Source organism: Homo sapiens, chromosome 14 (genome assembly GCF_000001405.40).
Source record: "Homo sapiens chromosome 14, GRCh38.p14 Primary Assembly".
Lineage (NCBI taxonomy): Eukaryota > Metazoa > Chordata > Mammalia > Primates > Hominidae > Homo > Homo sapiens.
In genome coordinates this window covers 77,242,602-77,255,482 of record NC_000014.9, presented here as the reverse complement: position 1 = coordinate 77,255,482, position 12,881 = coordinate 77,242,602, and the positions used below count along the sequence as shown (strand labels likewise).

Here is a 12,881-nt window from a genome sequence, read left to right as displayed (position 1 = left end):
TAAAAGGCACTGTGCTAAAATAAAAGGGACATGAAAACCTGAGGCACATGTGCTAGATTTGATATTGGGTTGGACAAGCTCTAAAAGATACTTCTGGAACAATTAAGGCAATTTGAATACCGGCTGGGTGTTCAAAGAGATAAAAAATTTATATATATGGAAAAAGATTGTTAACTAAAAATGCAGGTTATAGGCCTGGCGTGGTGGCTCACGCCTGTAATCCCAGCACTTTGGGAGGCCGAGGCGGGTGGATCAGCTGAGGTCAGAAGTTCGAGACCAGCCTGGCCAACATGGTAAAACCCCATCTGTACTAAAAATACAAAAATTAGCCAGGTGTGATGGCATGTGCCTGTAATCCCAGCTACTCGGGAGGCTGAGACAGGAGAATTGCTTTAACCCAGGAGATGGAGGTTGCAGTGAGCCAAGATGGTGCCACTTCACTCCAGCCTGAACAACAGAGCAAGATTCTGTTTCCCCACCCCACAAAAAAAGGTTATAAAACAGTATGTGCAGTACTATTTCATTTTAGCAAAACTATGTAAATCATACATAATTATCTGGAAGAGATACATAGTATATAAATATCTGCAAGAAAATACACTATCAGTGGTCATCTCTGGGTGGTGGGAATATGGACTTTTTATTTTCTTATTTCTGCTTATCCTTTCCCCCTATAATGATGTGCGATGTTCATATAGCCCTGTGGTAATAAGGCAAGATTTAAAAAATAAATCCTAGTCGTGTTTTTTAAAAGCATAGGCTTTAGAGTCAGATGGACCTGGTTCGACCTTTGTCCTGACACTCCCTTGCTTGGTGCCCTGGACTCTATATTGACGGAACTTCTGAGCCTCCATTTGGGGATGAAAATCCCTACTGTGTGGGTTTATCAAAAGATTAAGAGCGAAAACAGCAAAGCGCCAGGCTCATAAGAAGATTTCAAAAACTTATTGCTAACAATATTCCAAGAGGGGTCCTTTTGGAAGGGTCCCAAGAAAAGAGAGACTTTCTTGCTTTGAAATCCTTGTGGTCTCTTCATTATGGAAGCACCTACTCCTGTCCCCTCTCAGAGATAATCTGTGCCTGTGTGTAGGGTTTTTCAAAGTGAGGCAAACCTGGCACTCCGGTGACTTCTGTCCACTTGCTGGTGTTTTGTCTGTGCTTCTGTCACCGTGCACTCACTCCCAGCTCTGCCCACAACTAAAGAAAGCCTTGTCTCCCATAGGGCCCTGCCGCCCACTCCGCATTTCCACCGTGCCGAAAACTGTCTTGAGTCCCCCAAGCTCCGGTCTGTCTCCAGGCCTTCGCACAGGCTGCTCCTCTTCCTTGAAAACTCTTGCCCCACACCCTACTTCACCTGGCACCCCGTATGCCCATTCCTGGGGTCAGATTCAATGCTCCCTCCTCTGGGATGCTTTCACCGAGTGCCAGCCTGGCACCCTTCTTCAGAGCTCCTCCCAGGAGCCCTGGCCTTGGGGCACAGGCTGACCCAGTACCCACCTCAGTGTGTGCATTGGTGGCTCTGAAGCTGCATTTGTGGCAGGGATGCGGGTGGGTGCTTGTGCCCATTCCCCTTCAGGCCGAGCCACTGTGTGAGAGACAGCACCCAGCCTGCAGGCCCTGCACTCTGCACTCTGAGCCAGCCTCTCTGCACGCAGACAGGCTCGCTCATTTCGGCGTCCCTGCCTTACCATCAGTGCAGACTTCTAATAGTTCCCTGAAGCTCTGTCTGTGTCGCTCTGCCTGCACCTGTGCCTCAGGGGCAGCCTTTGGTCCCGAGGCCAATCCTCAGCAGGCCCCCCTGCGTCTACATGACCGAGGTCGCTGTGGTCTCGGCCTCCCTGACCAAGTACTTCCTCTCTAGGTGCCTTCCAGACAATGCCGAGTACACGGTGGCTCTTCTCTTTTTCTCACTCTTCATCCAGGACCACGGCAGCATTTGGACCTGGGCCAAGTCCTGCTCCATTAGAGGAGGGAGCCCAGGGGTCCCCCATCTCCTTCCCCATACCCAGAGTGGGCAGCAAAGCTGGCATCCCCCACAATGCCACTAGAGTAGACCATCCCTGCAAGCACCACCCTCCCAACCTGTCCCTGGGACTCAGGACTCACGAGGGAGGTGGGCGTGGAGGAGGTGCTGCTTGGCTCCATGTCAAACACTGTCTGGATCTCCTCCTCCTCGGGCTGCAGCAGGGAGAGGTGGTGGGTTACAGGAGGCCTGCTCTTTGCCCCTCCCCATTCATCCAGAGGAGCCTCAACTCCACACCTGGGCTTCTCACCACCTTGGAACTCAACTCATCTTCTGTCTTTCCAGACCTTCAGCCTGGCAAGACTGAGACCCAGGGGGACAGAGAGAAGGCTGGGATGCAAGGGAGTCCCTTCTGGAATGTTCTATTCCCAAGGGCCATCACTGGGGGAAGTAAGCAGAGCTGGAATTGAAGTTCAAAGATGAGCCTGCTTTGACTCCAGGAGAAGCCTTGACTTCAGCACTGTCGTCTTTCCTCCTGTGGCTTCCCCTCTAATTTGGAAAGTGTCCTACACCAACACAGCCTAGGTTCCTGGCCATTCTCCTTCTCTAGAGTGGACACCTGGCCAACCCAATCACATAATGCTGCTGTATTAGACAGAGTCAGCGGGGTCCTTCACGAGACCCTTCACTAGTGTGGTGTTCCAGCCAGGCGTGGAGAAGGAAGGCTGGGCGGAGAGGGCAGTGGGCACCTGTGCCCAGAGCCCTGGACACAGACAGAGACACCAGAAGCAAAGAGATCCTCCTCCGAGTCCCTCCTCAGGCTCAGTAGTGTGTCAGTCCTTAAAATCAGCTTTCTTTTCTTTATATACATTCATTTAAAAAGGAAACAATTCACTATTATAAACAGAAAACTGTATTTCAGTTGCCATAGGCAGAAAGTTAATGTTAAATACGTAACCATGAAAAATGAAAAATTATGTTGTGATCCACTGGAAATCATTCCAGTGCCCCAGGATAGACATCCATTCTGGGAAATGCTGAGCTAGAACACACAGTTGTTGGCATGGCTCTAAAAGGGCATGGATTGGCTCCCCTCTCCTAATGATTAGGCTGGGCCCACTGCCAACAACCAAAGGAGTCATGTGGGGCAGGGGCCACCTCCAAACATGGCCACCTCAAGTTCAATAGCCTGGGGTCTTAAAGGAGAGAAAATGACAATCCCCCCTCTTTTTGAATCATCAGCAACTCCCCCCGCAACCTCCTTTGCTCCATCCTCTCTCTTGGCCTCCAGTCCTTGGAGGCTCACAGTTCAGTGGCTGCACTGGACTCACATCGCAGCAGCCTGCAGTTTGGAGGAGGTGTCAGAGGGCAGAAAAGGAGAGGATAGCTGTCTTCTGGATGGGGGCCAGAGCCTAAGCTAGTGCAAGGCATGCACGCATGCACGCAAGGCATGCACGCATGCATGCACGCATGCACACTGGGCTCCACGCTCTACAGTCAGAGACAAAGGCGAGACCCTTTCATCCTGTGGTGCTATGGGAGCCCAGACCTGGAGAGTATCCTACAGCTGTGTCCCCCAGGGACCAAGAGAACCAGGAGGAGGGGCAGGCTGGCAACTCACCTCGTAGTCGGCAACCATCCGAAGCTTCCCCAGAAAAATGCCAACAAAGGCAATCACCATGGCAATGAGGAGGGTGGACAGGGAAAAGATGGTGATGGCGTGGAGAGAACCTGCCGAGGAGGAGAAAAAGTCATGGGCAGGAGTCTGCCAGCCGAGATGCCACCCCAACTGGCAGATGCCAGGGACCGTCACAGCACCACTGCAAGGGCTTTGACCTTGCCAGTCCTCCTCTGATAACAACTGGCATCTAGGAGTCTGACAAAATAACATCATCCCTTTGCTCTGTTAGAATTTGGCATCTGTGGAGTCCATGAAAAAATGTTTTAATTGACTTCAGTACCCACTGCAGTGCCCATTAAATGTGTCCTTCCTGACCTGCTGGTCACCTCCAACACCATCGTCCCTGGGAAGTATCTTTGAGTGACTATTTCTGCCAGTGCCCCCAACGCCATCTCTGACCTACACCTTTCCCTGCAAGCCCTTTTGAAGTGAGCATGCTCAGTTATCTGCACCGATGGCACAGAGAGGGAATCTAGAAGGTAAAAGTCACCTACATTACATTTGGGAATATTTGATCCCTTTTTTACGGCAGCAGTTTTCTAACTAGGTAAATGTTGTTTAAATTATGCTTTACAGCCAAAAATCACTGCTTAATGATGCTTACTGCAGTGTTTTTATAGTAGCAAAAAGTGGCAAACCTCAATATCCAATCACGGAGAACTGACTAAAACTGGTAGACTTTCATGCAACCGCTGAAAGGCACCTACGTGTTCAGTCTTTTAACAACCTAGGAAATTGCTCAGAACATTGTGTTCAGTACAAAACCTCAGGGTACAGGACTGAATGTTACAATATGGACTATCGCAGTTTTGCAAAGTAACAATAGACCAACTGCTCCCTCTCAATGTTCCCATGCCCAAAGCCCCAAAGCGCATGCCTGGAAAGGGGGCTGGGAACAAAAGACATCAGGTTCTGGGTAAGATGATGGGTCATTTACATGTTGGTCTTTATATTTTTTCTATTTTTGATGATAAACATGCAGTCCTTTATTCTTAGAAAAAAAGCATTATGGAAAAAATGAAGTCTCTGGGGTGGCAGGGAAAGGCTAGCGGGATAAGCAATTGGGGGTGATGGCAAATGGGTAAGCCACATAAATGACTGAGAGTCGACCGTATGGATGCCACCATGGCAGGGAGAGAAAAGAAAACACTGCCTCGGATTGCCTGAGCTCAGGAGTTCGAGACCAGCCTGGGCAACATGGTGAAACCCTGTCTCTACTAAAATACAAAAAATTAGCGGGGCGTGGTGGCACCCGCCTGTAGTCCCAGCAACTCAGGGGGCTGAGGCAGGAGAATAGCTTTAACCCGGGAGGCGGAGGTTGCAGTGGGTCGAGATCAGGCCACTGCACTCCAGCCTGGGCGACAGAGCGAGACTCCGTCTCTAAAAACAAAAGAAAAAAAAAAAAAAAGAAAGAAAACACCGCGTCTCCCTTCTCCCACCACTGAGAAGGTTAAGGTCAGGTGTCTGAGGGAAGGGCAGTGGGGTTGGGGGTTGCTGGGGGTTAAGGTGCCTCCAACGGGGAGAAAGCTGAGAGATTTCTAATCTGTGGCCTGCAGGGACTGCTTCTGGGAGGGTGTCTCTGAGCTCCCCTGGGCAGGAGCAGTAGCTGTGTGTAGCTAAAGAGTGAGGAAAAAGCTGGCCCCTACTGCAGGCTCTGTTTCCTCTTCCAGGTTTTTTGGCAACCCATAAAGCCAGGCATCTACCACTAGGCACCGGCGGCTTACGCTTATAATCCCAGCACTTTGGGAGGCCTAGGCCAGGGGATCGCTTTAGCCCAGAAATTCCAGACCAGACTGGGCAACATAGTGAGACCTCATCTCTACAAAATTAAAAACAATTAGCCAGTCATGACAGCTCACGCCTGTAGTCCCAGCTACTGGGGAGGGGGAAGTGGCAGAATTGCTTGAGACCAGGAGGTCAAAGCTGTAGTGAGCCGTGATCGCGCCACTGTACTTCAGTCTAGACGACAGAGCAAGATTCTGATTCAAAAAATAAAATTAAAAAACAAAACAAAAAACCAGGCATCTTATGGGATCCCAGAGGAAATGTCATGGGAACTGAGCCTCCCAATAGCTGATACTCTATTTTCCACCCGTCTAGACTTAGAAAGAAGGAATATGAGGTTTCCTTCCCTGAGCGCTGGAAACCCAAATCCACACCTGGGGACCATGTTGGTCCAGGGCCTCCTCTTAGCCTTGAAGCTCAGCTGAGACTCTAATGTAGGCCCTTTAGGCCCAGAGAAGTCACTGGGTGTGGCCAGGTCTGGTGAGCAGCGTCTTGCCCTGCCTGGGCTTTTCTCCTCTAACAGGGTCAGTGTTAAGGGACTCACAGAACAGTGGGGCAGGTGGAGGTGGGGTCTCCAGGCTGGCTTGGTACCTACCCAACCGCAGGATGGAGAAGAACAGCATCCAGAACAGACCCAAGAGTGGCGCAAAGATGGCCTGGGAGACGGCAGCCATGTGGATCTGCTCGTTCAGTTTGGTGGGTGCAAAGGAGTAGTACATGTTATAGCGATCCGTCAAGTGCTTCATGCACAGGTAGAGCAACCCTGGGGGACAAAGGTGGAAACTTACTCAGTGGCCCCTTCAAGTCTGGACCTTTGTGGCTCCAGTGTCTCCACAGGCCTGAGAAGCCAGATCCACGGCTGTCAGAGTCACAACAACCAAGGATGGGTTGGGGGAGCTCCGTGGTACTGACCTCCGGAGCCAGCAGCTTCCCTTGAGCCCCGAGAACTGACTGTTTCAGCTTGGTGAAGAGTCATTCTCTCATGCGTTCATTCAACAAACATCCCCCATCGGCAGCCATCCAACCTCAGCTGCCCTGTACCCCCAGCTTGGCCCTGGCCCTGACCCCTCCCTACCACAGGTCTCCCCATGCTCCAGGAGGTGGACTGATGTTGTGAGGCTCAATTCCTCCTCCCCATCTGCGGATGTGCAGCCCTTGGGCATGCCTTGGAGATGACTCACCAAAAGGCACAATGATGGGGCAAGTGATGCTGTACGCCATCACCACGCTGAACACGTTCATCATCCACGCATACTCACGCCCAAACTGGAAGTCTATGGCCTGGTTCTGGGGCAGAAGGCAGGTGTCACCCTGAGGTGGCCCAGTCCCCTTGGCTTGACTACTTCTGTGGCTCCTCATCAGCCTCCTGGCAGCTCAGGCCTGGAGGCAGCCTCCTTTCCAACCCTGTAGACCAAGGTGCCCCACCAACACCCATCCACACCGTCCCTCCCACCTCAACCCCCTTGGTGCTTCTAGCAGGCTCTATCCCTGACACCCTCCCAAAGGAAACTGAGGGCTGTGCTCAGCGGAGAGCCAGTCTGTACCTTTCTGATGTTGACTCTCTCTGGCTCTGATCTAGAGAAGAAGAGGCGGGTGCTGTAGCAGAAGAGTGACCCCAGACGCAGCAGCTCCATGCCTGTGCCAAGTAAAGCTGCCGTGATCACGTAGTTGACAAAGAAGGCGCCGTTGTCTGGCAGGAACACACACCTGGGCAGTGAGGGAGAGGGAAGGTGGCAACAGAAGCCACAGGGAGAGGGAGAGATGTTAAAAGGGAGGAGAGAGAGGAGAGCAGCAGAGGGAATGGGAATCGGAGTGGAGATACAGATACAGACAAGGAGAATAACATTTCCTCTCTTTCTTTTTCTCTGTCTCTCTCCTATAATATATATGTCCCCAACCCAATGAAGTTAACAAGCAGTCCCCTGAGCAGGGAGGGGCAGGGACCACATAAAGCATGGGTGTGTTAGGGGATACATGCATTGGCTTGATCCAAAGCAAGGGTGTCTGAGCCAGGTCCAAAGACTCGGGAGAATCCATGAGTGGGTTTCTGGGGGGTCTGTAAACTAGGATGGGAAAAAATAACATCTTTATTTTCACTAATCTCTAACTGAAATTTAGCATTTTCTTGCATTAAGAATGTGGGCAATACGGCAGGGCATGGTGGCTCACACCTGTAGTCCCAGCACTTTGGGAGGCCGAGGTGAGCAGATCACCTGAGGTCAGGAGTTTGAGACCAGCCCAGCCAACATGGTGAAACCCCATCTCTACTAAAAAATACCTTGAAGGATTCTGGTCCTTGCCTTATAGAGCAAGTTATGGAAGTTTGCATGTCATTTGCAACATATCTTTGAAAATTGGGATTCTCAACACTTGTTATCACTAAAACAAAAAAATCGAAATTGGCAGAATGTCCCACGTGGTCTGCATGTTGCTTTGTCAATGATCCCCCCTAGTTTAATATTCTTATTCCAATAAGTAATATCAGTTTTTATACTGATGTTTTTAAGACAGTAAAATGTAACTTTAGCTTGCTTATATAAAAAATGCAATATTGGTTGGGTGTGGTGGCTCAAGCCTGTAATCCCAGCATTTTAGGAGGCTGAGGTGGGCAGATCACTTGAGGCCAGGAGTTCGAGACCAGCCTGGCCAACATGGTGAAACCCCACCTCTATTAAAAATACAAAAATTAGCCAGGCATGGTGGCATGTGCTTGTAATCTCAGCTACTCGGCAGGCTGAGGTGGGAGAATCGCTTGAACTTGGGAGGCAGAGGTTGTAGTGAGCCGAGATTGCGCCACTGCACTCCAGCCTGGGCGACAGAATGAGACTTGGTCTCAAAAAAAAAAGCAATATCTTGTGTTTATAAAGACTATGTCAAAAATTTGATTTTTAAAATATCTTGATAACTGTAATTCAGTATAATTGTATAATTGGTTTTCTTTGTAATCCATGTATTTTGTGCACATAAAGACATCATTCAGAGTACACGTAAAACTGGCAGAATCAGAATAAGCTCTGTGGATGGACCAGTGTCAATTTCCTGGTTTTGATATTACACTATAGTTATGCACAGTGCTTCCATTGGGGGAAACTGGATAAAGGGCTCATGGAACACCCACCCTGCATACAGTTTGGGGGCAACTTCCTGTGACTATACAATTATTTCAAAGATATCATTCTGAGAAGGGGTCCCTGGGCTTAACTAGATTGCCAAAGGGATCCCAGCACAGGAAAGGTAACAAGTCTGCCCAGTGAGGGTGTTCACAAGCATTTGTCTACACTTCTGTGAGCAAATTCAGGTGCTGGACTCAGGGAAGAGCACATATAACCACTCCTGTGTGCACACACAGCAGCCCTGGTGGACACATGGGAGTACTCACTGGAACCTGATGGATGCTTGCTCTAGATAGTAGATGTCAAAGAGCCAGCGGAGAAAGACATCCAAACTAGAAGCAAAAACAAGGCAGGTCTGTTAGTTAGCAAACCTATGAGCTAAGGCTGAGGGTTCAACCATCCTCCCTTGCCCAATCTCCAAAGAAAGACCCTTGCTTTATTCCAGCTGGCCAGTCCACACTTCCCCTCTTCCTTCTTAGTGCTGGGCTGTCCTGGCCCCGAGCCCTTTGGCCTTTCAGCTCAAGGCCACCTCCTCCAGCAAACCTGGGCCAGTTTGCAAAACTGTAAGCAGACATTTCTCTCACAATATTCACTCATTTCTCTCACAGTACTCTCTCCCTCTTCTGAATTTCCACTGCTTTTTGGCTGTGTTGTTCCCATGTGGGGCTGTCAGGCAACTGGTAAGCACGCCTTGTGTCCCCAGCCAGATGATAAGCTCTATGTGGGCTGAACTCACGGCTGACACGTTAGTGTCTGCAGGAAGCCCGGCTCATGCTACACCCATGACAGGCATGGGGCTGTCTTTGAGGAGTGGGTTTGCAGCAATCACAGGCAGGTCTACAGTATCTGAAAGAGGAGGTCTTAACTCTAAGAGAGCCTGGCTAAGAAGGAAGGGATAATTGGAAGTGAGGTACCTGGTCAGTCCCATAGAGGGCAGAATGACTACCATGAACACCAGAAAGATGTAGCACTTGTGCACCATGACCAGATTCTGACTTGATCTAGAAGGAAACAGAGAGATATTCATCAATGGACGTGGCCTAATAAGAACCAAAGGCCTAACTATGTAATAGAGAGGAAGAGAGACACTGATATGGTTTGGCTCTGTGTCCCCACCCAAATCTCATCTTGTAGCTCTCATAATTCCCACATGTTGTGGGAGGGACCCAGTGGGAGATGATTGAATTATGGGGGGTGGGTCTTTCCCATGCCGTTCTCATGATAGCGAATAAGTCTCGTGAGATCTGATGGTATTACAAGGGGGAGTTTCCCTGCACAAGCTCTCTTTGCCTGCTGCCATCCACGTAACATGTGACTTGCTCCTCCTTGCCTGCCACCATGATTGTGAGGCTTCCCCAGCCACATGGAACTGCAAGTCCAATAAACCCTTTTTCCTATGTTAATTACCCAGTCTTGAGTATGTCTTTATCAGCAGAGTGCAAATGGACTAATAGCGAGTCCAATGAAACCTCTTTCTTTTATAAATTGTCCAGTCTCGGGTATGTCTTTATCAGCAGTGTGAAAACTGGCTAATACAGACATACGCAGAGTAGAGGTCTGGGCTGGGAAATTGGTTTAATTGTGCATACCGATGCCATCTCCATACACCACTGTGAGCTGTGCTGCATCTGGGAGCATCAGGAAAGAACAGCATGATCCACTAGTGATGTCTGTGCTGGGCATGGGAAGGGATGGGAAGGCACAGATGTGCCATATAGTTGATGTCTCTGTGTTAAAGAGACATTACCAAGAATACTAAAAATCCCTGCAGTTTCAGTCATCAATATAAGTCTTGTTCTTGGCCAGAGGAAAAGGCCAGGAAGGATTTCCGTTAGGACAAACCTTTTGGCTGCTGCCTGGTGGAATAGTAGGAACTTTTGGTGCGGAAAATAACTTTTGAGATGCATGCAGCTTTCAAGCCAAAGTACTGCCACCTGCCCAGGGTATGGCAAATACTTTCTACCCAGTGAGCAGCCACCATAGAACCATCAAGGCTAACAAATGGGAACGCTCCTGATTGGGTAAAAGGTTGGCATGGTGTGGGCCATATGTGATGACAGTCATAGTGAGTTTGTGGGCCCCTCTGTGTGGCCAAAGCATTCTATTGACATTCCCACACAAGTCTTTCCTCCTGTGCCTTCTGCATGGAATGCCTGGGACTGCCTAGCTCATGCCTACAGCTCCATGCCTTCAGGATATGGCTGGGGGCTGAGGGAGAAGCTCAAGGAGGGCTTGGCTTTGGCCCCACACTCTTAGACAGTGGCTCTATCTCAGCAACCCAGGGGCCCAGAGTCAACCCAGACCCTCCTTCCAAAGACAGAACACCTGTTGGTCTTTGGGGATGGTTTCAGGTATCAAAACCATCCCTTATCAATTCTCCTTCTTAGGCTAGAGGGGAGGCCCAAGTGCCAGGCTGGCGGGGAAGCCAGGGCAGGGGAAGAGGCTGGAGAAACCACAGGGCTACGAGAGGAGGCCCCCAGGTCACCTGGTCCAGTGGGCCTCGAGGAAGGCGGAGAAGTAGACAATCAGAGGCAGTATCACTGTGAAGCCCCAGAGCATCACAGAGGGGAAGAACTGGGTCACAATTGGGTTCTGCAGGGGGAGAGGGGAGGACGGCAGGAGAGACGTCAATGCAAGCATCCTCTTCCCCTTGCTTCTTCTCCTCCCACTCACTCCCAGGGCTGGCTTGCTCTCCTGGAGGCTGCAAGGGGCCTGGCCCTTCTCACTGGCTTTCCTGGCCAGGCAGAGGCTGACACCCAAGGTCAAGTGGAGTCCCCAAGCAGCTAGGCCTTCTATGCTGAGGTCACTGGAGCGGCAGCCTGAGCTTTCTTGAGTGACTTCCTCCTAAGGCCAGAGCTAGCCAGGAGTGCAACCCCAGCAAATTGCCTTTGCTGTGATGACATGTGAGCGGGGGAGGAGGGGAGGATGGAGGAGTCCCCAGGGAGAGCTGTGGCCCTCCCAGGATGCGTGGGGTCTGGGGCCTATTACAAAGTTGACAAAGGGGAACAAAAATCAGCAGCAGAAGTGGTGTGGCTTGACTTGTGTGTGTGTGTACGTGTGTGCATGCACACATGTTGACTGTATGTGTGTGCGTGCATGCACACGTCTGTTGACTGTGCATGTGTGCGTGTGTGTGCATGCGTGTGTGTTGACTTTGTGTGAGTGTGTGCATGTGCGCATGCACATGTGTGTTGTTGGAAATGAGGATGGCGAGAATATGGAAGAAGAGACCTTCTAGGCTCCTAGTAACAGTCTTGAGGCTAAAGAATTTGGAAATGGGCTAGGATCCCTCTGACCTGCACCATCAGCAGGAGGCATCCCCTAACTTCAGAGATGGTTCCTCCAGGGCTGAGGGCTCCCAGCCTGGAGTGCAGGTGTCTGGAGATGAGGGAGGTGGAGGCAGATCTTGAGCTCCCACTTCTCTGAGAGGGCTGCGTTGGGGCTTACCTCACTCTTCCTCACCTTTAACCCTACTACACAAACCAGGAGCCTGCTGCCTCGGACAACTTGCAGAGAGCAGAGCCACTCACACTTGCCACACCCTCTGGACCCCAAGCTGGCCTGGGATGACCCCGTTCATGAAGACCTCTGAGCCCATGTTGACAGGACGACACCCCCTCCAACTCACCCCAGGACCTGCCTGTGGACTCCCCACTCTCCCTTCCCACTCTAGCCCTGGTCCCTAAGACTGGCAGTCACCCACCTTCATCCCTTTAGAACAAAGCAAGCCCTACCCCGCCATTTGCACCATGGCCACCTCCACAATGTTCGCACTGTATGGGCTCCACAGCCCCCTCCCAGGGGGCTCCCCCCATCCCATCCTCGCCTGAATTATTCCTTGATCTCCCTGGGGTCCCCAGGCCTGGCCTGAGCAGAGGAGGCACCTGCAGCTTCTCGATGGGGCGGGTGACGTTGTACATGTCGATAGTGTTCATGATGATGGCAGGCGTGGTGAGAAAGAAGAAGAGGAAGAAGAGGAAGGTGTTGATTGCGATAAAGCGGGCCCACCAAAAGAAGCGGCGGACAGACAGGTGTTTCCTGGGGAAGGATGGAAGAAGGAGGCACATTTAGAGACATCAGTTCTTAGAGCCCACGTGCTGTTTGCTGCAGGCCAGCTGTGGACCCAGCCTGCCCTGGTCTAATCCAGCCTCCTGGGCCCAGACTTGCATGCAACAGGACCCTGGACCGTCCCCTGTCACACCATTTATAAAGGATCCAGAGCATAGAGCCAAAAAAAAATGGACCTGAGTTCCCTCTGCAGGAAAAGCCTTTTTGCTAAGGGTTGGATGCCACCCACACTTGTGGGAATGAGTCTGGGCATACACACAGGTTGTGGTGC

General features: G+C 50.8%; 1 protein-coding gene across 1 annotated transcript in view; it reads right to left on the bottom strand.

The window, feature by feature from the left end:
* The window catches only part of TMEM63C (transmembrane protein 63C), a 77,698-nt gene that overhangs the window by 4,013 nt on the left and 60,804 nt on the right, over nt 1-12,881 (bottom strand). The window contains exons 15-23 of the mRNA NM_020431.4: nt 12,427-12,580; nt 11,028-11,134; nt 9,457-9,543; nt 8,809-8,874; nt 6,974-7,136; nt 6,611-6,716; nt 6,025-6,192; nt 3,585-3,694; nt 2,107-2,178 (exon numbers count right to left, since the gene is read on the bottom strand). Of these exons, the coding sequence (NP_065164.2) occupies nt 2,107-2,178; nt 3,585-3,694; nt 6,025-6,192; nt 6,611-6,716; nt 6,974-7,136; nt 8,809-8,874; nt 9,457-9,543; nt 11,028-11,134; nt 12,427-12,580 (1,033 nt within the window). The remainder of the gene's footprint in view (nt 1-2,106; nt 2,179-3,584; nt 3,695-6,024; nt 6,193-6,610; nt 6,717-6,973; nt 7,137-8,808; nt 8,875-9,456; nt 9,544-11,027; nt 11,135-12,426; nt 12,581-12,881) is intronic.